We start from the raw sequence: 26,734 nt of genomic DNA, 5'->3' as shown, positions 1-26,734 counted from the left end.
ATCTTTATTTCCACAAACAGTGGAAATAAAGTGCAGAGGGGCAGCATCAGTCCTCTCATCCTGTGATCCTATAGGAGATGGAAAATGAGGCAAGAACAAAACGAACACATACTCAATGCTTTCTGTGTGTCAGAGAAACTGAAGCTCAGTAAGGCTGAGCCCAGGGTCACACCACTAGAACTAGCATTTGATGGTAGGCCTCTCTGGCTCCTAAATCCTTGTTTCTCCTAGAATGGCAACTTTGTAACTTTCGAGAATATGCCATGTAATTCAAACTGATAATTTAGCAAAGTGTTTCCCTTTAGAGGTCCTTTTTCTGGGCCTACTTTGAAAGTGGATCGAGACATGTAAAAATTTGCATCATTATCATGCAAGCAATTAAAGTGCTTAAGAGCTTAAAAGCAATTTGTTCAAGTTGGTTAAATATCCACCCTCCCCAACCTTGTTTGTATTATTAATTTACTCATCAAACTGTGACATCAAAACTATTGTGAAGGTAAATTTCAGTATCTTCTGTTCGGTAAAAAACTTTTAAATGTGAAGGGCTTGTATTGATGAGGTCCACAGTGAAAGGATCCAGTTCAGGGTGAGTCAGAGAAACCAGCTTTTTACTAAATAAACCCAGCTCTGCTTTGACCTCAGGATGAGAACTGATCATTTAAACGTTTTATTAATGTGCAATTATTCTGAGAACCAGTCAGCAATGCAGCTCTTTGCAAACATTAATTAGCTGACCCTCACATCATCCCACATGACAGATAAATAGCATTCACGTTGCATTGGAGAAAACAAATGGACACACAGAGATGAGGGAGGAAGAAGGCAGCTCTTGCCTTGAAAGAAATGTGGTAGAAGTAGGTGGAATTAGAAGACCATGTAAGTTTTTTACTTCATAAATATTTATTGAGCAATGCACTAGATAATCTAGAGCTATTCTATGCAATATAGTAGTCACTAGTCACATTTTAAACTAAATTTAATTAAAATGAAACAAAACTAATCATTTATTTCCTTGGTTGCACTAGCCAGATTTCAAGTGCTCAACAGCCACATGTGGTTAGTGGCTGCCATACTCGACAGTGCAGTTATAGAACATTTCTATCATTGTAAGACATTCGATTAAGGTTGGGATTAAAAAAAAATGCAAGGATCCTTGCCATTGTGAACTCCAATGTAAAATTTCCTAAAACAATAGCTGACACATGGCAACTACTGAGTAATTCAAGTTGTGGTTAAGTTCTTTGGGCTAATGGTTAGGGACCCAGCTTCTGGAGCTAGAGGACTGGGTTCATTTCCTGGGTATGCCACGTACTGAATGTATGACTACAGGTAGATGACTATTTAAATGATGTATGACTACAGGCAGACTATTTGAATGCTCTATGCTGATTCATGCTGCTATTTTTCACTTGTCTTACTAGCTGAGATTATTTTTAAGGCAGTGTTGGATCCTGGAGAGGGTGCTGGGAGACAGGTACTCTCCTTTGCTGCTGGTTGAAATGCAAATTAATATACCCTTTTAGGTAAGCAATTTGGCAGTAACTGTCAGTAGACTTCGGAACACTTATTCCGTTTAGTCCAGTATTCTGATTCTAGGAATCTAGCCAAAGAAAATAATCAGAGATGGGCAGAGAAAATTTAAGAATAAAAATGTTCATTGCAGTGTTATTTATAAAAGAGAGGAAAAAGGTAAACAATTGGGTGGAATAAGTAAAATGTGGCCAAGCCTAGCAGCGGAATATTATTCAAAGATTACGTATTGTTTTGAAAATGTGTTTTGTGACAAGGGAAAATGCCATGATAAAAATTATGTTTAAAAAATACTAAACACTATACTGCTAAACCCCAAAAGTATTTTTAAAAGTAGATATTTGTTGAAGCAGGACTAGAGAAATAAAGTACTGAGTAGTAGCTTATGAATTAATAGAATTTTTGATGGTTTGGGGAAGATTGTTTCGACTTTTTTCTTTATTAAGTTTTGTGTTTTATTTATTTATTTAATTTATTAATTGAACTAACCTAAGAAAATTGGCAACGGTGCGTCCCTGTGCTCTTTCTGCTATAGAATGCCTCAGAGACTCCTAGCTGCTCCTAATCTGTTTTTTCTAGCACGTTTGGAACTTCTGGCTTATCTATTCTAGAGTTTGTCTGCCTTCAAGGCCTAGATGTTCTTTCTAATGTTAAAACTGAATTCTCTTTATGGCCATTTAAGTACATTTCTACATGTAGTAGGTGATTCTGACTGAGCAGCATGGGGTATTGCAGAAGACATCAACTTCAAAGATGGAAAGAACTAGATTCAGACCCTGAACCATCATCACCTCCTTGCCATGGGACCTTGGGCGACCCTTCTGTTCCTCAATGTCCTCATCTATAAAGAGGGAAGCAATAGAATCTACCCCATATCTCATGGCTGTGTGGATTGTGCTCACTTCAGTGGGACATCTGGCACATATGGGTAAATAAAAATGCAAATGTCTTCCATGCCTGGGGTGCAGCACCCTTTAGAATGTACACTCCTTTTGTGCTTGTGCCACTCTCTTGAGATTGTAGGATCATCACTCTCCAGAAGAGGGAGAGTAGGCATCAGGTGGTTACTCAACATGACCCCTGCCATAAGGGCTTGTGAATGGCAGGCTCAGGACCTGGACAGATGTCTGGCTGACTCTGAGTCTTATGCTCTCTCTGGTACAGGTTTGGAAGTTCTGTTCCCATCTGGGCCATTGTATTTTGCTTATTGGTTTCCCTGGGCTGCAGTTCATTGTGGTGCCATTAACCCCTCAACATTTCCCAGCCTTGCTACTTGTTCCTCTCAAGGAATAAATAAAGCAGACATTCCTTTTTTTTTTCTTTTTTCTTTTTTTTTTTTTCGCAGGTTGAATGATTGAAACAAACATGCCTAACTAAAAAAGTAGCCCAACGCTGCTAAGTGACAGCAGCCAAGCCACATTCCAGGAAGAATGTAAACTGCTCACTAGTGGTTCAGCTCACTTTTTGCCACCTTGAAACAAGGTCTCCTCCCAAATTTCACCTCTTGGTGGCTTGAAAGAGGCACTAAATTTGTCATCAGCTACAACTCCCAGTTCTCACACTTTCTATCTGTGGGACCTTGGTCAAATTACTTAATGTCTGTGTGCCATAGTTTTCTTTTCCATAACATTGGGATAATAATAAGTCTTTGGCAGGGTTGTTGGTAGGATTATCATGCAGTAATCTTTGTGACAGTGTTGTGAGTCCTTGCCATCCTTGAATCAGCACCATTATTTCCAAAGCTTTAGAAGTAATTTATTGAGGTACCACTAAGTCACTGCTTCATTTTTCTCTGCTACTGATGGTTCTCCCATATATTGCAGTTAAGTCCATATAAGACTAAGGCCATATAAGACAGTGAAAAAATGCCAACAGGTTTTGGGTTGAATTCTCTGCTTTGCTACCTACTAGCTGTATGCATTCAAGCAAGTTCCTTGGATTGTCTATGCTTCCATCATTTTTTTTTTTCAGTTAGAAAATAGAAAATAGAAGTGTCTACCTCCAAGGGTTGTTGTGGGATTCACGAAGTAGCTTGGGTAGTGCCTGATAATCACTGTCTATGTGAATGGTAGCTCCTGGCATTGCTCTTTTCCCCACTATCTCCCCACCTCTCAGCTGCTGGTCCGCTGGCTCCTGCTTCTGGACCCTGTCAGCACAGTCCGGTGGCGAGTGCAGGTGTTTATTGGGGAGGAGGCGGGAGGGGGAAGGATGTGAATAGAGGGAGGTTCTATAGGAGTCTATTGCAGGTTATTTCAGGTCAGACTCTGAGAGGACCCCTAGCTTTCTTGTCCCCTGAAAATAAAGTTGCCTGTAGACATAGAAAAACCAAAGGGCTCTAGATTGAGACAGCAGATCCTGGCTCAAATTCCAGCTCTGTTTCTTTGCCACCTTGCACCAGCTTGATCATGTTAAAAATGAGAATGATATTACACCTGTTTCTCTGAGCTGCTGTCAGGCACTAGATTTAGAGTTACTTGACCCTGGCGGTGCATTAGAATCACCTAGGTGCTTTTTACCAAAGACTAGCACCATGCCCCCACCACAGATTGCTCTACAACTGTTCCAGGTGGGAACTAGTCATCAGAACTCTGTAAAGCTGCCCAGGTGATTCTAAGGTACAGCAGGCTTGAGAAATGCTGCATAGAATACAGCCTTACTGAATGTTAGTCTCCTCCATTTTCAAAGCAGCATAAAGGGATCTTATATTGAGTAATTTATGTACGAGGTGAGTGACCTAATTTGTTTGAGCCATGGGACTGCAGATATGGTAATCAAGGTTTCTTTCCCACCCCTGCCCTCGTTTTTGGCAAACTGGGGCATTTGGGTCAGAAAAGTGGCCTTCTTACTCAGCCTGTCCTCTTCTGATTCCAACACAGCTGCCTTCTGAGTGCTGGGAAATGCCTGGCCCTTGCCTGGAGATGTCATGATAGTCCTTTGACCTACTTTTGTTTCTTTTCTGTTCACTTCTGGGCTGTGCCCCATTAACCATTCATGCACAACCCTCCACCAAGCTGGCAAGGCCTCAGCATTCTTCAAGTGGAAGAGAGAATGCTTGATTTCTGTCCACATCCTATAAAATGCTTATCAGATGATAATAGCTTTCCAGGGTTAGTGACAGAGACTTAGCATGACCCAAAGGCCTGGAGGCTCTTCACTTATGCATGATTTGGTGATTTTACATCTCTTAGACAATAAATTTTTGGTTGAGAAGTACTTCTACTCAGCGGTCTGATTTTTTCTTGAGATCTTCTCAAACCCACCTCAAACTGGGGAAATGTGTTGTATTTTGGAGAGGGCTTTTAACATTTAATGTGCATAGGTACCATCTGAGAACTTATTGAAATGCAAGTTCTGATTCAGTGGGTGGGAGCATGGGCCTCAGCTCCTGCATTTCTGACAAGCTTCCAGGAGATGTTGATGCCGCCAGTCTAAGGCCACACTTGGCTTAGCAGAGCTCTAAGACCTTGGTCTTCCTTCCTGCTTCTGCTTTCTCCCTTCTGTCTTCTTAGGTCCAGGAGCATCAGATGCAGACTGTCATTGAGTGAATGGAATCTGTCAGTTTTGTGCAACCGTTTGTCAGTATTGTTGTAGCCTCAGTGGAGGCAATTGTAGTGTGAAGTAGACAGAGTAAATAGTGGCCATTATCATCATGCCGTGGAAAGATTCCAGTTCCACGTATTATGTTATACTCTCCAGGCTTCTTTTATATCTTCAAGCACATTAAGCCTCATGGCACCTTGTGGAATAGGCAGTGATTTTTATTACTAGGATAAGTATTACTTTGAAAATTTTATAACCTTTATTATGTTTTTGTTTAATGTGGTTTTCTTCTGATTATGACAATAATGCATATAAACAACAGAAAATTTAGGAAACCTAAGATAACACAGAGAACAAGAAAAAGAACCCATAATCTTGCCATGGAGAGGTAGTTTCTCCTAACCTTTTGATTTTCTTTCCAGTATTGTTTCTATGTAAAATCCTAATTCTCACCACTACCCTCTCCCACCATAATTTGGAGCACATTACACACATTGTTTTGCAACCTTAATCTATCACGATCGTTTCCCCGTTCCATTAATTTTTCCTCCAACATGATGTTTAATAGCTATGTAGTATTCCCTCATAAGGATATACCATTATTTATTTAACTAATTTTCTATTGTTGTATTCCATTTCTCACCACCATAAATAATGCTGAGATCAACATTTTCATGTAGTTGTCTGTTTATTTTCTTCAGTCCAATTTCTTTACTTGAAATTTCTAGGTCAAAGATAATGCAGCTTTTTAAAGCTTCTGACAATGTGCTGATCCGTGATGGGCCTGTGGAAGCATGGAACCAAGACCAGGGTCCCTCTAGTCTGGTAGTAGTTTGACCAGGGAAGTTTTCATCATTCTTGTGTTGTGTAGGGAGTTTCATCATTCCCATTTTGTGTCACCAGGGTACCATGGTGGCACTGGAGAAGCCCTGAGCAGACAGCCCCCTCTGCCACTTCACCTCCTGGTTCATGTGTGCTGAACTGCATCACACAGGGGTAGATGGTCACTAGGTCATTAAGATTGATCTAGGCCATATCTTGCTTCCTGGATCTGTGAAGGTATCTGCAGTTTTAAAGGAGAGAAGAAAAGGGGAATGAAAGGTACCAATACTGTGTCTATCAAATTCTAGATTCATATATCCAACTGCCTCCTTGCTATTTTTATTTGAATAATCTCATATGTGTCTCACACCTAACACATCCGAAACTCATCTTCCCTGAAAGACCTGCTTTACTGGCAATCCTTCCTAGCTCAGCTAATGGTAACTCCGTCCTTCTGGTTCACAGGCCTCAAATTTTGGAGTCATCTTTGACTCCTGTTTTTGTTTTCATACCTTATAGCTCAGCCGTCAGGAAATCATATTGGCTCTGCTTTCCAGCCATAACCTCACAGCGGACCACTCTTCATGCTCTCCACTGCTACCACCTGGGTTCACTCCGATCTTCTCTCATCTGGATGATCACAGGATCCTCTTTGTTGAATTGTGTGAGGCATTTGGCCTATATTATCGCATTTATTCACATGGAGCTGAGTAAGGTCTTGTTAGTTCCCATTTTCCAGAGGGGCAACAGGGACTCAATGAGGTTAGACATCTTGCCTGAGGTCACTCTACCAGTGAGTCAGGGAGCCAGGGTCCCCTACAGACATCCACCTGTCCGTAAAGCAAATGTTCCTCTCCAGGAGGTGCTGGTTGTAAGTTCATGAGCCATGGAGGGGATGGGGAACTTGAATATCTTATACCTGGTGGGAGGAACAAGATACACACCATCTTTTGATGTCATCTGAACTTGTTAGCTAACATTTTTAATAGAAGATATGTATCCTCTTCTCACATCTGCCTGCACTGATGAACAAAGCCTTGTTTCAAGAATTAATTTTGGAAGGAGATACTCCTTTCATAGCCTACTCCTGAAGGTGGGAAATAGTGTGGGGAAATTCATTCTAGACCAGAGTGTGGGTGATGGTCTCAAGGCCTCAAAGTAGGTTTCTGAAAGACCCCCACATTTTGGCACATGTTTGTGCACAGGTGTGTGGGCACACACCTATAATTTACAGCACATTCCTAGAACTTTTCAAGTCAAAATGTTGCCTTGTTCACTCTTATGGTTGTTATTTCTTGATCTGTTGTCATCACATGTCTCACTGTTCTTTCCCCTCAATAATCATGGAATTAAATTCACTTGTTCAGAAGTGGACCCCAGAGGCAGGCAGGCAGGCAGAGACCAAAGAGATGTCACAGAGCTTATACCAGAGGGATGGGAGCCAAGGCCACGTGAGCAGGTCCTGCCACCTCAGATAGATAGGCCATTTGTGCCCCTACTGTGTGCTAAGAGGCACCTACTGTGTGCTGAGCACAGCAACACTGCCAACAGTCTTGTTATGCTCCATCACTGACTATATGAGTAGTGTTGCCAGGATTTGAATTTGGATCAGTCTGGCTCCAAGTCCGTGTTCTTCTACTTCACTTTTCTAGGACTCAGGAGAACATGGCCAGGAGTTTAGGGCTAGTCTCTTAGTAGCTAACCAAGAGTCTTTCCCCAAAGGCTCCAGACACTGAGATGTGCTAGGGATGTGGGGAGAGCTGGCTTTAGTTCAGCATCAGCCAGAACATCCCAGAAGAGATTAGACAGCTTGTGGAGGGAGTGAGCTCCCTGTCATTGGAGGAGGGCAAGCAGTGCTGTCAAGTCTATTAAGAAGCTTCCTGCAGGGGGTGAGAAATTGGACTCAATGTCCTCCTGAAAAGTTCAGCTACAGAAAGGCTGGGTCCCTTTGGTACACTCCTCACCTTGATCCTTAGCACCGTTGTTAAGTATACTGATTAATCCAATCAGTAAGGGCCTGCGGAGTGAGCTGGGCTCTGGAGTAGATGTGATTCAAGACAGAAAAGCAGGAGGGTACGCCACTCAGATCTCAAGGCACTTAGGATCCAGTTAAAGGTACTATTAAGACATTATCAGCTGAAGAGTCAGACTGACCTAAGTTTAAATCTGGGCTGAGCCACAACTAGACCAGGCTTTCTCAACTTCGGCACCCCTGACTTTTTTTTGTGTGTGTGAAATGGAGTCTCATTCTGTCTCCCAGGCTGGAGTGCAGTGGTGTGATCTCGGCTCACTGCAAGCTCTGCCTCCCAGGTTTATGCCATTCTCCTGCCTTAGCCTCCTGAGTAACTGGGACAATAGGCGTCCGCCACCACGCCTGGCTAATTTTTTGTATTTTTAGTAGAGATGGGATTTCACCGTGTTAACCAGGGTGGTCTCGATATCCTGACCTCATGATCCGCCCGCCTCGGCCTCCCAAAGTGTTGGGATTACAGGCGTGAGCCTCTGTGCCAGCCTTTTTGTATTTTTTTTTTTTGGAGACAGGGTCTGGTTCTATTGCCCAGGCTGGAGTGCAGTGATGTGATTAGGGCTCACTGCAGCCTTGACCTCCTGGGCATAATTGATTCTCCTGAGCTTAAATGATTCTCCCACCTCAGTTCCCCAAGTATAAGAGCTAGGACTACAGGCATCCAGCCATCATACCTGGCTAATTTTTGTTTTGTTTTGTTTTGTAGAGACTAGGTTTTGCCATGTTGTCCAGGCTGGTCTCGAACTCATGAGTTTAAGTGATCCTCCTATCTCAGCCTTCCCAAAGTGCTGGCATTGTAGGTGTGAGCTACTGCACCTGGCCAACTTTGCCACAAATGACCAGATAATTCTTTGTTGTAGGGGGTGTTCTGTGAATCACGGATGTTGGGCAGCATCCCTGGCCTCTATCTACTAGATTCCAGTGCCTTCCCCGCCAATTGTGACAACCAAAAATGTTGACAGACATTGCCAAAAGTTCACTGAGCAAAGAATTGCCAAGATTGTCCGTCCCTGGTTGGAAGCCACTGGACTAGCTTGTATGACTTTTGGCAGACAAACTAAACTCTTGGTATTAGTTCCATCTTTTTTAATGTATGACAACAATACCTGCTGTAAGAATGAAATGAAATAGCATTAATCAAGCTTCTACCAGGGAGCCTGGCACAAAGTAGACAGACACATCTGAGAAAGAACCTTCACACCCAGGTTAGTGGGGGAGGCAGGGAAGCTTCAAAAAGTGGGAAGCATTTGACGTCGACTTGAAGGATGAGAACATATTTTCCAAAAGGACTAGAAGTATTGTGATTATTATTATTCATCCTCCTTCCTCTACCCTTGCAGGCCTCCTCTCACTTGCTGGTCACTCCTTCTTCTCTCCTGTAAAAATCAACCAAAGAGACTCTTCTAAATCCTCAGCTCCTGGAAACAGGAGATTTGGTTCTGGCCTCACATTTAACCCTCCCTGCGCCTGCTGCTCCAGGAGTGCATAGACTCGCCCCTTGTTCTGGAGCAGGCCAAGAATGACCCGTTTCCCCACCTTGTTAAGTATGAATTGGAAATTTGTACCCATGCAGTTTCCTTGCAAAAAAAAAAAAAAAAAAAAAAATGCACTTGTAAGCATTCAGAGCTGGCTTGAACGAGACAGGAGCTACAAATGCAGTTGAATATTTCATGAAGACCCTTTCAAACCACATGCTCTGCTCTTGTGGATGGTATGGGGGAGAAAGCACAGGCTACGAGTCAGACCAACTCAGTTTTAGCCCTGACTCTTTAGTGGAACTTTGCCGTAGGAAGTGTCTTCACTTCCCTGGGCCTCGGTTTCTTCATCTGTACAATGGCGGGGGTGGGGGTTGCAACTGATTTGGGATATATTGTGAGGGCTTCAGGAGATAATATAGGTAAAGGATCTGGCAGGGTGCCTGGCACATGGTAGGTGCTTAGTCAATGTTACCTCTCCAGTTGGAATCTTCCTGTTCTCTTCCCAGTATCTGTGCTTTTAGGGACAGCATAGTCTTTCTGGATGACACAGGCCAATGGCATGGGACTCCTTGGGGGATTGGGTTTAGGACAGCCTCCCAGCCTTCTCCTTTTAACTTAAGCTTTGGGATTGGGTCCGGCATCCTTGGAAGGCTCACCAGTTGGTCTACTTTAGAAGACAGGATGCAAAGAATTCCCTCTGATTCAAATGGCCCAGCTGAGCATACTTTCAGTTTAAAAATAAGTCGGCCTATCAGAAGGCTGTTTTAAAATGTAGAGGTGACAAGCAAATGCCTGCCTTACCTTTGTACAAAGAGGAGTGATTAGAAGAGCCAAAATAGAAGCCCAGAGAGGCTCCTGGGCCACAGTCCCTGCCCCAGGCCCAGAACCAGCCTTGGGTCAGACCCTCCCTCCCTCTGTTCTACCAGGGAGCCAAGGTTGCTGTAAGGAAAACAAGAGGAGTGTGGTGTTTTGTAACTATTTTTATACCTACCTCAGACTTGATGTTAGTGCTTCTGAATTATTTAACATTTTTCTTTCTCAGCTGGCCTCTCCAGCGAGTTTCTCTCTTGGGGTGGAGGGAGTTGTTTTTTAGGCACTCATGGAGGCAGACAAACATTGACTGCAGGGCCTCTGCTTTTTTTGGGGAATGACATTCTTAGGTATCCTATTATGAATTAGGGGCCCCATATTAAACATAGGTGACAGGTATTATAGATGACAGGTATCTAGTCTCCATGTTACAAAAAGAGATGGTAAGTAAATTGCCCAAGACCACACAGCAGGAAGTGAAGGAATCAGGATTCAAACTCTGGTCTTTCTTACTGTAGAGCTGGTGCTGCTTCTACTGAGCTGGACTGCTGCTGCTCTGTCCTTTACTCTGTGTGTGTGTGTGTGTGTGTGTGTGTGTGTGTGTAAGAACCATGTGGGTGATTTAATATGGTACTCCTTAAGCTAACAGGCCCCTGTCACCATTAGCTTAAGGAGTACCAGATCAAATCACCCACAAACACTGTGGAGGTGAACAGAGTTGAGAAGATGAGCCTCAGAAGGTTGAGCACTGAGAAGCAGGGATGTGGTTCCCTTGGTTATTGCATCCTGGGGGAATGGGAAGATTGTTGCAGCCCTAGCAGGAGGTCCCTTCATTGCACTTCACAGGCGCCACGTGTGGGGTGTGCGTTAAGAGCCCTTCCCTCACAGTCTAGCCAGCCTCTTGAAAGGGGTATCTGCACCTTGGGCCTCATTGAAGGGGGTGATGATTGGCAGCTCTAAACCACCCCGACAACAGGAGGGAATGAACTGGACTCTTATCTGCTGCCTCTCATAATTAAAGTCCATCATAGACTTTTAATGGGCATTTTGAAATAGACATCCTGGTTTGAAAGGAATCCTACTGTAGATCGAGATCAGCCTCCCTGCAGAAGCACTGTCTTGCTGATAACTGTTTTTTTTTTTTTTTAATTTCAGAGCCAGGGAAGATTACACATTTTCCTTGTTCCGTTCCTTTAGCTCCTATTTAATTATTGGTGACCTCGAGATGACTCTCTTTCAAGCATTTTAAACTCCTCATTCTACCTTGTGTGAAAACCCCGTTAGAATTATAATATGAACTCTCTCTGGGAGATAGCCCTCTGCAAATTAGCTAGGAACACTTATTTCAAAAGTGCCCATCGTTATAGTTTCAATAAAAATCACTGGGGTAAAGCAGTTGTTAGTAATGTTAATAACAGCTGTATTTTGATAGGAATGCACTTTATGACTATATCAAGCGATATCACATTCTGTTAAATAAAGTAATATTTGACACAGGTAAATTCCTTGATATTAAATTTCAGATAGCTGTATGAAATACTAGGTTCTCCTTCACATACATATGGATGAAAGTGGCCCTACCTTTTTTTTGAGGGGGGGTGACTTTATTTATGAAAACATATAGACAAGGTAATGGAATGATATTCCAAGATAGCCTCTTATGTGAAATAATTTGATTTAAAGCTTTATAAGCATTGCAAAAATTGACCAGTGTGCTTTCGAATGCCTCTACTTGTGATTTTGCAAAGAGAAAAGCAAAGGGAGAGTAGGGAGAGTCACGTTTAAAAAATAGTTTACACATTTAAAAAATACTCCCTACCAGATACCTTTGTGCACTCCTCGACTCATCTAATGCACACACAAGCACTCTAGAAGCCTGGTTTTCACTTACAGCAAAGCTAAGTGAAAGCTTTGGAAGGTTTGGAAAGCTTTGGAAACTTCTGGAAGTTGAAGTATCATCCCTGAGGCTACACTGCTGGTGGAATTAGCATTGAACCTGGGTTTATCTGACTCTGGAGTGACTGCTCCTACCTCTGTCCCATCCCAGCTCCAGGGACTAGGTTTCAAATATTTTTTCCGTATTGTGTGGATGTGTGAGCATGTGGAGGGGTAATAGTTTTTTCTTTTTTCCTTTTCACCATAGGAGCAAATAACCATCCCCCACCCCCCAAAAAAAAACTGGTTTGTGTCCAAATAAGTTTGATAAATGCCAAATTAGAGAGGTTAATGTATTTTCATGCTGCAGAAAGTCTCAGAGTCTTCACTATGCTTATGCGAATCTCCAAGAGAGGCATAAATAGCACATAAGAGTTCCCAAACTTCTAATATGAGTTTTCTTTTTTCTAAAGCAAAACCATTTTTAGCACTCTCACAAGAGTAGGGTTTCTTCAGAAGCTCTTTGGGAAGTGCTAACTTTGTGGATTTCTGAATCTGTAGGGTTCTGATTATGGTTCCTGTCTTAGTGATATGGTCCAAGCAGGAAGCTTGGAGAGTCCTGCAGGGGCTGAGTGTTTCCCTCTTGGGAGGCTGCAAGCTGCCTCTCTTTCTGACATCTTAGTAGTTCAGATAAATGAAATGCGTTTTTGTTCTAACCCTTCCCAACCTATTTTATGGAAAACATCAAAGTATTTAAATACAAAGAGTAAGGATTTAACATGTTAAAAAAATGTATTTCAAATGATCAGGAGGGAGAAAACCTTTACCATAGATTGGGAAGGATTTGCATCCTTGAAGGAGCTAAAAGACAAAGATAAGCTTTTAAAATACATATATGGAACAAAGAGAACACAGTGGGTTGGATTCAAAATATTTAAATCTGTCTTATTCCATTAAGGGAACTTTAAAATAAATGGTTTCTCATTCATTCATTCTCTCTCTCACTCACACACACATGCACATACACATAAAATATCACATAGGAAGTCTCATACTCAAACTCCCTCCCCGCACCCACCTTGTATCTTGAAGGAACTAAGGAATAATTTGGCTCACCTAGGTAGCTGGGGAAACTGAAGGCCCAGAGAAGGGAAGGAGTTTGTGCCAACCCACGAAGCCAGTTCATGGGACGTCAGGCCAAGGAGTGGAGATGTGGATGATGTCTGACATGCTTTGCACCCCTACTGTGTAGCAGACCTAATCTCTTTACCTCCTTACAACCAACCAGGTTATGGGTGTTATCTTCATTAAAGCTGAGGAAATGAAACTAGGAAATGTCAAGCAACGTGACCCATGGCTGGTAACTGGCCTCATAGTGGGATTTGAGCCCATACAAAGTACATATCACACTGTCAAGTCCAGAATGTGAGTTTCCTTTTTGCCAATCTAATTTAACCATCTCATCCACTATCCATCCCTGACTTACTAGACAGAGCAAGGTAGCCACCCAGTTACCTTCTGATGAGTCAGGAGGGAACACATCCATCCCCGTGCCGTGGGTGCTAAGGGTGCCATTGGGAACATGGAGGAAGGGAGCTGACCTCTTACCTGTGGGTGTGAACAGCTCGACTGCCCTGTTCCCAAGTGCTCTGGTGGTTTATAAGCAGTGAGGTGAGTCACAAAGCAGACAAAGGCCACTGACTCAGCGGGTAGAGGGAGGTGCCCTCAGTTCTTGATTCAACATTGCCATGACTTGCTGGGAGTGGTTTTTGATCCTTCCATGTGTTTTTGAAAAGCCAGGTAGGCTTTTCATCTCCTTCACCACTTTAGATGCGAGTTTGTCCTGGAGGCAGGGAAATGGCTCAGCTGCCCTCGTGGGCTTCTGTCAATCCTATGCTTCAAACAAGTATGAGCTAAGCCTAGTCTAGATGTGACCTGGAATATAAACAATCCAATGAGTTTGACTTCCTTCAGAGGTGGCACCTGGAGAGGCCATACATTTATTCAAGTGATGCCACCATTGCTAAACACAAGGCTGTATGCCTCTTTGGGAATGTGGGAGTTCAGTCATTCAACTAATGTCTGTTAAGAGTGTCCAATTTCCAGGCACTGTAAAAGTGCTGGGCAAAGTCAGAGGAAAGCCAATCCCTGCCTTCAAAGAGATGACAACCTGTTGGAAGACACAGCCACGTAATGGAGTAATTGGAGTGGGGTGTAAATGTACAGGGGACATACAAGAGCCACCTCTGCATGGGGGCAGTCAGGCAGGGTCTCACAGAAGAGGTGAAGCATGAACTAACTGTACTGAAGGGTCATCAGAGTTCACCAGGGTGACCAGAGAGGACATTCCAGTTGCAGGGAATAGCATATGCACATCCACAGGAAAATGAGAAATCATGTTTCAGTAGGGCTAGAGCAGAGGATGTTGTGTTGGGTGGTGGAGCCATATGAGGGAGAATAGATTGGTGGGATTCATAAGAGCCAGAATTGGCGTTTAGAGCCAGCTTGTAAGCCACATGATTGGCTATGACTCAACAGATACAAGTGGCATCTTGCAACCATTAGTATCAGTATTCTTGTTGTTTTCATGTCCTGCATACTGTAGTTTCAGTGTTTTTGCTTGTTTAGGGAAATCCATTATACCCTAAAGAAGCAAGTTGATAAGAAATCCCCACAGAGAGATTCTAGGTAGGTGCTTTTCAGTAGAGGTTTCTGTAATGATGGAAATGTCCTGCATCTCTGTCCTCCAATAGGGTAGCCATTGGTCAGATGCAACTGTTGGACCCTTGAAATGCGGCTAGAATAGAATTTTAAATTGTATTTGTATCATATATAATATATAATTTATGTTACTTATTATGCATCCTTGTTTGTCATATTTATGTTTGCTTTCTATTAGGCAGTACTAGTCTAGTGCGAGGAGACAGACAATCCCACTACTGATACATACACCGTTTAAAGTATACTGTAGGAAAAGGGCCTTCCTTGAAGCCTGCACCCCAGCCAGGAAGAGTGCCATTAAAGAGTGACAAGATCTGCCTGGAGGTCAGTAAGAAAGGCTTTCAAGAGGAGAGAACTTCTTATTACTGGGCTCTGAGGGTTTTGGCAATCTCTGAGTAGGGAAATGTGGAGTGATTCTTCCAGAGGAGAGAGCATGAGAAAAGGTGTGGAGGTTCCAGAAAAGCACATACCTGGGGGATATGGAGTGGGATGAGGCGACCTCAGGAAGAAAGAAGGCCACAAGGAGCTTGGATTCTATTCTGATGAAGCAAGGACACTTTACATAGATGATGTCATATTGCAAGTATGAGCAGGGATGTCATGAGCATTATCCAGGACTATAGGAGACATACATAGTGTTCTTCAAAGGACAATGTAATTCTTTGGACATGGGGCATAAACACCATGGTTCAAAGCCAAGCTTTTAGAAGCAGAATGCGAAGTTGAAACTTCTTCTACTCAGGTACAGCTCTCTTTGCTATGTGGTAATGTTTACTACCACTGTGGTCATGTTTACCAACCACTCTTGTGGTTGGTATTTCCTGTAAATCTTTAAGTCCAAACAACGGCATCTGGGCACAAAAAAGGATAAGAGGGACCAGTCCCCTTTGAGCCATCAACAAACAGCCCAGAGGAAGACGCTGAAGTCCAAAGAGGCTGGCTGACCTGCTCAAAGCTGCTGAGGTTTCCCTTGCACTACACTGCCTTGCCCTTGGTGCCAGGACTTAGTCTCTGGGCTAAAGGAAACTCTAGACATGTTTTCAGTGCTTACGTAAGAGTCAACGCATGAAACACACCTGCCTTTAAAGAGCAAAAGTAAAGTTCTTTTAAGCCATTTCTTCAGCACAACATAAATGTGCTAAACATTGACATTCTTATGCCAGCCCTTAGATTTGAGACTCTCAGTTAACTACTTTCCAGATATCTGTTTTGCCCTTAATGTTATACAGTATTGAGATATTGATCAGGACCTCAGCCACAGTATATCTTGGCTAAACTGTCCTAGGTTTCTAGCAAACAAGGAATGACTGTGTGAGTGGCAAGAAAGCGTTGATGTTACAGTTGCCTGTAGTGTCTGTCTTTTTTTTTCTTTTTTTTTTGCCATTGTCTGGTTATGTACCAAAATCCTAACTGTACCTGAGATAGAAGACGCAAGCTTTGCGCAAAAGCAGTGTTAGTAGCAGGCATACCCTACAGGATTTGGAGCAGAGACCTGGAGAGAAACCCTGAGCCTGCCACCAATTAATTTGTGACTTGAGGCAAATTACCTGACCTTGTTAAGCCTCAGTTTCCCCATCTGGAAACCCGGATCTTAATACCATCTCGTTAGGTTGTTATGAGGGTGAGATGATACAGTGCATGTAAACCTCTTAGCATCATATCTGTCACATAGTAGGGTTGTACCTTAATAAACAGAAACCAGTAATGTTAATTTTACCAAATTTTTATGTTATAGCTGAAGAGTTTCTTTTGTCAAAAAAGAGGCACATGAAAGAATGCTCAGTATCATTAGTCATTAGAGAAATGAAAATTAAAACCGCCACAAGATACCACTTCAAACCCACTCGAATGTCTAAAATTAAAAAGACTGACCATACACGTGTTGGTGAGGATATGGAGCAACAGAAATGTAAAAGGAGACTACTACTTCAGAGAACAGCTTGGCAGCTTCTTAAAACCATAAATACATACCTACCTTGTGACCCAGCCATTCCACTCCTAGGTATTTACCCCAGGGAAGTGAAAGCGTATTGAGATACAAAGACCTGTACAAGAATGTTTGAGGCACCTCTATTTGTAATAGCCAAAAATTGTAAGTCACCCAAATGTCCATCAACAGGTGAATGGATAAACACATTGTGGTATATCCATAAAATGGAATGTTAATCAGCAGTGAAAAAGGAATAAATTCTTGATTAGCCCAACAACATGGATCAATCTCAAAATAATTATACTGAGTGGAAAAAGCCAGACTCAAAAGCATGTATACTGTATGATTCCTTTTATGTTAAATTTCACAAATTGCAGAGTAATCTATTGTGATAGGAAGCAGGTCAGGGGTTGCCTGGAGAGGGTGAAGGGGTGGGAGGGATTATCAAGGGGGATGGGGAAATTTGGGGGATGATGTGAATATGGTTACTATTTTGATTGTAGTGGTGTTTTCACAGTTGTATACTGATATCAAAACTCATCAGGTTGTGCAATTTAAACATGTACAGTTTATTGTATATCAAATATAGCTCAATAAAGTATGTTTAAGTTAATGTTCAGTACAAGGAAAGACAAATCACATCCTCATGCTGGAGTTTGTTTACAAGATGATGAGTTCTCTTCAGATGCCACCACAGTGAGTGGAGTTTGACTCCCAGCCCCAGCACTCACTGTCACCTTGGGCAAGCTACTTAAGCTCTCTGAGCTGCAGCTTTTCCATATGAAAGTGGAGATGGTAAACCTACATCACATCATTCCTGGGGCCTTTGAAGGAGTTAATATACATAAAGCCCTGAGCACCGAGTCTGACCTATAGTGGATGACCCAAATGCTTGTCTATAATGATAGCATTATTTATTATTTTCAGGTATGCGGAATACTTAAATACCCTAAACCACCTGTAAACGAATGAAAATTCACGTGAGTCAACCTGGGTGAAAACCAAAATGCACTTTACTTCCTTGGGGGCATAGACATGAGTGCTTCCAAAGTGCTCTGAAACAGTTTGTTCTTTTTGGTTGATTAAACATGCTTTAATTTCACAGATCCCAGTTCTGTTCAGCAGACATTCTTTGAGGATTGGAAGGACTTCCCAAAGGAAGTGACTAATCATAGAATCTTAGAATCGGACAAGAGAGAGACAGTCTTAATGCAACCCTGTCATCTTACAGACATGGAAACAGAGGCTGAGGAAGAAAGGTGCCTTGTCCAGGGCTGCAAAGTGGTGGGGTGAAGAGGGAACCGGCCTCCTGGCCCCAGTCAGCATGCTTGCCCCTGCACCACGAGGCCTCTCCCCTAAGCCAGGCCGCTTTCCACAGATAGAACGGTGGCAAGGTCAGCTGAGGCCGTGTCTAAATGATCAGAATTAATGGATTCTGAATGAATGAGGTTTTCTGCCCGAGTTTTAGGTTCAAGGAGCTCAGGAGGCACCCGGCCAAGGTTTTGACATTTTTTGCCCATGATTCAGGCAGGGCTGCTTGGTTGGGTTCCATGTCTCTGCTCAGCCCCTCTCTCTGTGATCTGTGTTTCAGATCCATTTATATAAGACAGCTTTGGGAATTACTGTTTTAAAAAAATGAAAAAGCAAGTTGTGTTTTTTTTGCTTCTGCCATAACATATAGGGCTCAAAGAGTTACATCTGTTTCCAGTGGCCAGCAACTTGGAACAGTCCACTCTTAGAGGCCCAATTCCAGAAGACTGGCACAGAAGAAGCTTTCGGCAGCAGGTTGATACCCTTCTCGAGTTTGAGTTGGCATGTTTTACTTGTCAGCATAGGCAGTAATAAGGCATATTCAGATGGCATCTCTATAGCCACTCTTTCTTCTGGTCCTTGGACCAATACTCTGGGATTGGGAGGCAGGATGATTACAGTCCCTTGTCACAGTGTGGAAAGTGAGACTCAGGTTAGTTCAGTGGCTTCTCAAGATCACCAGCTACTGTGCAGCAGAGGTTGAATCCAGGTCTTCCAGTGCAGAGTCGAAAGCTCTTTTTACTATTCCAGGCCAGCTATTCTGGGATGTCTCTTAGGGCTTTGACTTTGAAGGAAGTGCTTTTCCAGTGCGTGCATGTGCATGTTTGTGTGCGTGTGTGTGTGTGTGTGTGTGTGTGTACACATGTGTGTATATGTGTTCATGTGTGTGTGAGTGGAGTTGCAGGGCAGGACCAAGGGATCTGTCTCCCTTTGAGAGCAAAGTCAAGTTGAATTTTGAGGTATAGAGATAAATTATACGTATCTTGTGTTTCTGTTACTCTTTTTTTTTCTGTTCTTAATATAGGGTACATGAATAAGCTCCATGCAGAGCCACAAGGAATTGATCTTTCTTTTTCTTAAAATATTTGCCGTCTATGACTTATCAGTGTGTGCATGCATATGTGTAGATATATATTTTTCTCCTTTTTTTTGCAGACATGATTCTTTTTTACATACTTTAGCATGCCACTTCTAAAAGCAAGGACATTCTTCTACATAACCACAATATGATGTTTATTCCTAAGAAAAGTAATAATAATTTACAGTTATCATCTAACTTCTAATCCATATTCAGATTGCCCCAATTGTTCAAAAATGTTTTTATGGCTTTTTTTTTCTCCTAAACTAGGATACAAACAAGATTTATGCATTACATTTGGTTGGTATGTTGAACCAACATTCCTAATAAGCAGTTTTCATGAGCTAGAATCATCTGCAAATTAGAGTGAAACAACCCTCTCCAGCTGAGGCAGCTGTTAGGGGCTGGCCGTGAAGGTCTCATGGGAACCTTGTGTCTTCTCTCTCATGTCTGCTGACCAATCAGTAGGAGGAGCTGGACTCTCTGTGTCAGGATGGAGCGTGCCAGGGAGGCGGGGAAAGGGAAAGGCAGAGCTGCCTAGCTTCTTGCTGGAAAAGGCTATGGAGTCCAAGGAGCTGAAACCTGCAGTCCACAGCCAGCTTCTTAGGAAGCAGGGAGTTTTCCCAAAGGAGTGGTGCGCAGCCTGGAGTGTGAGCCTGTAGACACCTTGGGAACTGGGGACAATTGCTGGGAGATTTGGGAATCCTATGTGATGAAATGAGGGCAGATTTGGAACACAAGGTGCCCAGAATGTGTGTTTTTACTCTGACTTCATTTTCTGATTCTCATTCTATTTTTTGGTTACAGCCCTTTGAAAATGAACCTGCCCTTGTGGACATAAATAAATAGGTTTTTATTTGCAGTAGCCTGATTTGATGGCCTTTAGTTATTACCACATCATTAGGACATGCTGTAACTAATGCTTCACAAAGGTACCCACCATGGGTGCCTCTAGCACCTGCCCTTGCCTTTGTTATGTAGTGACTCATATCTGTGTCTGCCTTCCTTTCTGGACTGAGTGTTGTCTAGTTCCATTCTTAATACTGACACAGTGCCTGGCTGTGGTGCAAAGAAGATGCTCATGGAATAGGCTGCAGTGATCCAGAGTTGTAAGACAGAATGTTATGGGAGCAGATAGGAGAAGAAAAAATAAATGAATGAATGGATGCATGCACGAAAACATGATAATCAGGAGTGTTTTCCAAGAGGTTAGTAGTTGGAAGTTACTGGGAGATGGGATGAGTATTTATTTGATACATATTTATAAAGTATTTTTATGCCATAGTGCTGTTTTAATCACTTTATAAATAATGAATTTAATTTTCTTACAAACCTAGGAAGTAAGGACTGTTACTTTTCCTACCTCGTATGTGAGGAAACCAAAGCATAGACAGGTTAGGTGACTTATCCAAGGTCACATGGGTAGTAAGTTGGAGCTGGGACTTGATTCCAGATAATTCAGCTCTAGAGTCTACTGTTAGCCACCTCACTCTGTGTGGAATGGGGTTGGGTGTTCCAAAGTCAGGGAAATCACTTGGTAACTGGTGGACCCCAACTGTCTTACGAGGGCTGTCGCTAAGGCTGTCCTGGGCTTACAGACAACAGAGGGTCTGTCACCCAGCTGGGCCATCATGAGGGAGCTGGCCATCTTTGCCATTCCTGGGGCCTGACATCTCACAGCCTGTTGGTTATCCTTACGTGGCAGGCTTTCAGTGATGCGGATGCTTCTTGAGAATGCTCTTGGGCTTTACCAACCGGCTAACTTGCTAGCAGAGCTGGGAAGGCTGTGTCCTCTTGGGGTGTTCGGGAGGGCTCCTGAGCTGTCCTGGTGGTGGCACCCAGTCCATGCCAGGCCTGGCCACCAGGGCCTGACTTCTAACAGGAAGGCTGAGCCAGTGCAGCTCTGTGGTTGTGGCTGAGCCAAGCATCAGTGCTCTGCTAGACTCCTTTGTGAAGCTGGAGTCAGGAATATCGGCTCCCACTACCATAGAATTTCCTCTTGAAGATGAGCATTTGTTGATGTTTAATAATGTTGTTCAGTGGTTTGAATTGCTGCCCAATACTTGTCTTCACACATTGACAGAGCTGAAATAGGACTATCAGAGGAGTAGCCTTCTAGAGTTGGAAGAGAAGTGAAACATCCCATCCACTCTGTTAAGGCTTTGATCACTTCCATTGAACAAATTCTTCCTGAGCTTACAACTGTGCCTGGAGATGAGATAGAGGAAACCAAAAACCAAAAACCCCAAAACCTCAAGGAGCTTGCAATCTGTTGGATGTCCCTCTTTCCAGCTTTTGGTGGAAAGAAAGACTGGAGGGAGAAGGGCTGTAGCAGAAGAGCACCAAGAAGATGCAATAAATGACAAGGGGGAAGAGAGGAAGGCTGCAGCGCAAGGCCAGGAGGGTGGTGTAGCCTAAGTGCAGCATAGGCTTTACAGACCTAGTCCTGATTCTTGCTTCTACTGCTTACTTGCTTCACGCTGGAGAGCAAATCGCTTCTATCATGTTCTGAGTCTCAGTTTTCTCAACTGTAAAATGGGCTAATAATACCCCCTGGAAGAGTTTGTGTGGGATAGTGCCTAGGGCATTGTATTAGTTATCATCAAACAAAAGCAAGGGGAGAGCCATTTAGCACAAGGGTTTATATTGCTACACATCTCAGCAGGCTTTTAGGACAATACTCAGTCACAGCCACTGTGGCCTCTAGATTTCTAGGGAGCCTAATGAAAATACCATGGCCTGGGGAAGATCAAGGGTTCAGGAGTCAGGCAGTCTGTGTGTCCTACTAGCCCAGAAGCTTTAAACTTACCCTCTCTGAGCCTCACTTTTCCTATCTGTGAAATGGCCAAGTAGCCTGGATAGAAGGGCCAGGATCTACCACATGGAAGCAGAAAGTACAAGCTAGTAGAGAATATGGGTGCTGGCCCTGTAATGAGTGACCATATCCACTTGAGTGTGTGTTTGTATGTGTGTGTGTGTGTATGTGTGTGTAGAGGGGCACAGGGATGATTAACAAGGACAGAGGTAGGCCCGACATGGAGAAAGGTTCTCAAAGAACCCTCCCTGTAGAGTACAGGACTTACTATGGAGGTTTAGAGAGAAGGTAAGTGAAAGAAACGGGCAAGCAAGAAACTCACACTTATTAAATGCCTACCACGTACCAGGCACTTCACATCTCCTAAGCTCCTAGCCTTCACTGTAAACCCATCAGGCAGGCAATACTATTCCTAATTTTGAGATGGCCTCAGGAAAGGTCAGAGAAGGCAAATAAATTGCCCAAAGTCACAGCTCTTTGAATTCCAAAACTCTTTTCATATACACTTCTCTGCCTGTTCATACATATGTGTTAGGACAGGACTATATTCTGGGAAAAAGATGGAGTTGATATCAAGTGATAATAGTGTAATTCCTGTTTATAGAAACAATTGTAGGAGGAAGCCATTTCAAAGTGGTCATTTAGTCAGTTAATATGTATTGAGCCCCAGTCAGGCACAGTTCTAGGTGATGGGGATGCAGTAGAACCAGTCTCTCTGCCCTTGTGGAGAACTGAGAAGAGGAAACAAGTAAGTTCAGAAAGTGATCAGAGAGGAAATTAAACAGTGTGGTATGATGGAGCACTGGAGAGGTGCTGGGGACCTTAGATATTGTCTTAGTTTGGGTTCTTCCTAAAGCCCTGAGAAAAGGATTTGAGTGTAGGTAACAATTTGCAAGGTGATTCCAGGAAGCCTGCTGAGAAAGTAAGGAAGTGAAATGGGAAAGGAAGGGAAGCTAATAGAGCAAGCTTGTCCAACCCGCAGCCTGCAGGCTCCATGAAGCCCAGAATGGTTTTGAATGCGGCCCAACACAAATTCGTAAACTTTTTAAAAACTATGGGTTTTTTTGCTATTTTTTTTCTAGATCATCAGCTATCATTTTAGTGTATTTTATGTGTGGCCCAAGACAGTTCTTCTTCCAGTGTGGCTCAAGGAAGCCAAAAGATTGGATACCCCTGTAAACAGAGGGTAATTTAATGATTAGGTTACCACTGTGGGCAACTAGAGCTCATTCCTGCTGGGACCCTCAGAGGGACACTGACACATTTGCTGGACTATTGTTCCATCAGGGGCCAAGAAAGCTGGGGTATGTATCCACCTACAGATGTTCCTCATTGGTTGTGGAGCCTCCACCTCCAGAGAGTCCCAAAGCAGAGAAATATGTGTCTGACTTGAGTTAGGAAGCATTTATGGAGTGGAAGCAGTCTATGGAGGCTGCAGGTGGGTTGAGGGCATCCGTAGTGTCTGCTACAGCTGGTGTGCGTGGTCAGGCAGACTGCATTTGAGCTGAGACCTGGACTAGAGGGGGCAGCTATGGAGCAGCCAGAATGGTTCCGGGGGGGCTATTCTTCCACCCTCCTTCATGGGAACCTGCAGCTCCAAGAGTTAAAGTGCATCAGCAAAGGCGCAGCTGGTGAAATTCCCTAGCCACGCTGGATTCCTGCCGCCCCTCATTCCATTTTAACCCTTCTCCACTGGGTCACACAAATATGCCTCACTCTTATGAACCTGTGAATAGCCTTAGAAATGTATGCCTCATCAGATGATTTCAGTCCTGCTCTATGCCCCAGAATCTACCTTTAAATGCTTTAAACACTCCTAAACAGCTCTAAAATGTGCCCAAGTGTTCCCACCACTCTACCACACAGCTATTTTTAGCTCCAATGCCAATTTCTATTCCTTAGTATAATCTTTTTTTTTTTTTCTGGAAGAGAAGCTCACAACAAAATTTATCTCTACAGCTTATTCTAAAACCACTAACTCTCACGCATGTGCGTGCGCGTGCACGCACGCGCGCGCGCGCACACACACACACACACACACACACACACACACACACACACAAAATATCCCTCATAGACAACACTTTATAATTCAGGCAAAGGAAGACCAAAAGGAGAACTTAATACTTCTTATTTATTCCATTCAACAGTAAAGTGCCTTAAAAAGGCCATGCAATTATATTGTTATGTGATAATTATTAATTCTGCTATGAGCTTCCACTGAGCCCAGATCCCATCAAGCACCTCTAATTTTGCCTACAAGTCCTTCTGTACCACCTGATGGGTGCTGGGAAAAGAGCTGCCCTTCTCAACTCCTGGCATTTGGCTTTGATGGGTTTCCACTGCATATGCCTTCCTTTTTCATCAGCCACCATTTTCTAACATCTTTATGCATAAAAAAGACAAACTTATTGGGAGGAAATATCACAATCCCCCAAAATGCAATTTTCTTCCTTTCCATCTCCAATAAAGCATGTAGTGGAAAAGTTATTAGACATTTTTCCTAGTGGATTGTTTGTCAATAATATTAACAAAGCCAGTGTGTTGAATACCTGTATATGCCAGGTATTTGGGAGATTATTACAGAGGTTACATATTCTTGTTTAATGTAATCCTCAAAACGATTTTATTCAATAGTGATATTCTCTTTTTTAGATAAGTAGCTCTGCCTCTGTGACTTGCACATAAAGCAAATGGAAAAATCAAGGTTCCGACCCAAGTCTGTCTAATTCTAAAGCCCACGAACTCATAACCTGGCGTTTCTCTAAGTGTGGTCTCCGGACCAGCAGCATCAGCTTCACCTGGGAGCTTGTTAGAAATGCAAATCTTGGCCAGCATCCAGTAGAGTTTTTCCTAAGTTTTTCTCTAGGATTTTAACCAAAAGGAAAAGAAAAGGAAAGATGGCTGGGCGCAGTGGTTGGCCCAGCATGGTGGCTTACACCTGTAATCCTGGCACTTTGGAAGGCCAAGGTGGGCAGATCACTTGAGGTCAGGAGTTCGATACCAGCCTGGCCAAAATGATGAAACCATGTCTGTACTAAAAATACAAAAATTAGCTGGGCGTGGTGACCGGTGCCTGTAATCCCAGCTACTTGGGAGGCTGAGGCAGAAGAATCACTTGAACCTGGGAGACAGAAGTTGCAGTGAGCCAAGATCATGCTCCTGCACCCCAGCCTGTGAGACAGAGCAAGACTCTCTTAAAAAAAAAAAAAAGAAAAAGAAAAAGAAAAAATGCAAATCTTCAGGTTCCACCCTAGAACTACTGAATGAGAAACCCTGGGGATGAGGCCCAGCAATTCCTGTTAACCAGCCCTCCAGGTGATTCTTAGCACAGAAAAGTTTGGGAAACACTATCTTCACCCATTTGTTAACTACTGATAAAGAGTTCAACTAGTAGATGAACTTTGAAGGAGGTTAAAATTTTCCCCTCTTCTTTGTGAATGTAATTAAAGTGATACAAATTTCAACAAATGTATATTTTTCTTCTAGAAAGCATGTCTTTTACATTTTGGGAGGTTTTAACTTTCTGTCACCTATCCTGATTTATATCTAGGTCTCGCTACTTATTAGCAGCAGGATCTTGGGAAAGTTACTTAACCTCTGTAAGCCTTGGTTCCAAGTCTGTGTATTGCAGATGAGCAGGATTCTTGTGAGTATTGAGTCAGGATCTGCGAAAGTGCTTAGCACGATATCAAGCATATCATAAATATCTAACAAATGTTAGCTGATTATTACTAATTACATGATTGGTTTGCTTGTTAGCTATTATTAGTAACAGTTTCTAAACTGTTTAATGCTTTTAAATTATATCCCTCATTAAGACGTCCAGCATCAGTTTTATAAAACAGTTTTCTATAACTGACCTAACTTTTAAATCCTGCCATTCTTATGTTTGACTCTTAGCAGTAAGTAGAATGATCAGAGTAACTGTCTGGAAGAGACCATCAATATTCCCATAAAAATTATTTATGGAAATCTGACACATAGTTAGGTACTCATACATATTCGTGGAGCAATGAATTGAGTGAATGATCAGTCCACACAGGCCACTTCTAGTCCAAATATTGGCCCCATACACTGACAGGTTGGGGGTCAGGGGCAGGAAACTGTCTCTTGTTCTCTGTTGATGGGCCCAGCACAGAGCATAGAGCCTGGCACAGAAGTAGATTGTCAATAATTACTTGATGATCAAATTTTTTTGCTTTCCTTTTGATACAGATATGCTTTGTTTCCTTAACCTCTTCTATCATAATATGCTTTGGGATCTGATAAGGAAAGATCAGAGTAAATATATATTTCTCTCCCTGTATACTCTGCTGCCCATATTTTTTTAAAAATACAGTTTTTAAAGAATTATCAAATAAGACTTAGGAGCCAGGAGACCTAGATTCTCCATTCTGCTTTGCTGCCAGGCTTAGATGTGACAAAGGCCTGACGCTTAACTCTTGGGTTCTTTTATTCCTGTGTAAATGGAGAAGGCTGGACTAGATAGGTGTTTTCCACGGGGGACTGGGACCAAATGGTTGCGTGTGTTACCTAAGCACGGTGTTAAGTAACATTGGATCACATGGTGAGAAAGTCTTGTTTCACTTCCTCTTTAATCTTTCTGATTTAGTGGAGGAGAAAGCCTGATTTTGGCACTGGTAGGTATTTAATACCTCGCCAATGCTTGTTCATCTCCCTGTTTAACAGAGACCTGAGTTTGGATGAGGAGGCAACAGTATTCACCTTGTTTTGTTCATCATATTCATTTTTTAACCTTTTTGTTTTCTATTCATGAAAAGATGGTGTTTTTTTC

General features: G+C 42.8%; 1 protein-coding gene and 1 non-coding gene across 6 annotated transcripts in view, besides 1 other annotated feature; both read left to right on the top strand.

Annotated features, from left to right (window-relative positions):
• Positions 1-26,734, top strand: part of TENM4 (teneurin transmembrane protein 4) — a 788,202-nt gene that overhangs the window by 7,972 nt on the left and 753,496 nt on the right. The window lies entirely within an intron of this gene.
• On the top strand, positions 10,833-10,890 carry MIR5579 (microRNA 5579). The gene has a single exon (NR_049841.1). It is a non-coding gene; the product is annotated as a microRNA 5579 (primary transcript).
• Positions 13,316-14,515: an enhancer, noted in NCBI's record as "CDK7 strongly-dependent group 2 enhancer chr11:79129588-79130787 (GRCh37/hg19 assembly coordinates)". NCBI's record gives its function as "activates an origin of replication core promoter dependent on BRD2, BRD4, P300/CBP, MED14 and CDK7 cofactors, with strong dependence on CDK7, by STARR-seq in HCT116 cells {active_cell/tissue: HCT116}" and the evidence as "EXISTENCE:reporter gene assay evidence [ECO:0000049][PMID:35650434]".

Source organism: Homo sapiens, chromosome 11 (assembly GCF_000001405.40).
Source record: "Homo sapiens chromosome 11, GRCh38.p14 Primary Assembly".
NCBI classification, from domain to species: domain Eukaryota; kingdom Metazoa; phylum Chordata; class Mammalia; order Primates; family Hominidae; genus Homo; species Homo sapiens.
The sequence above is the reverse complement of the archived record's forward strand: the minus strand, read 5'-3'. Positions and strand labels throughout refer to the sequence as shown.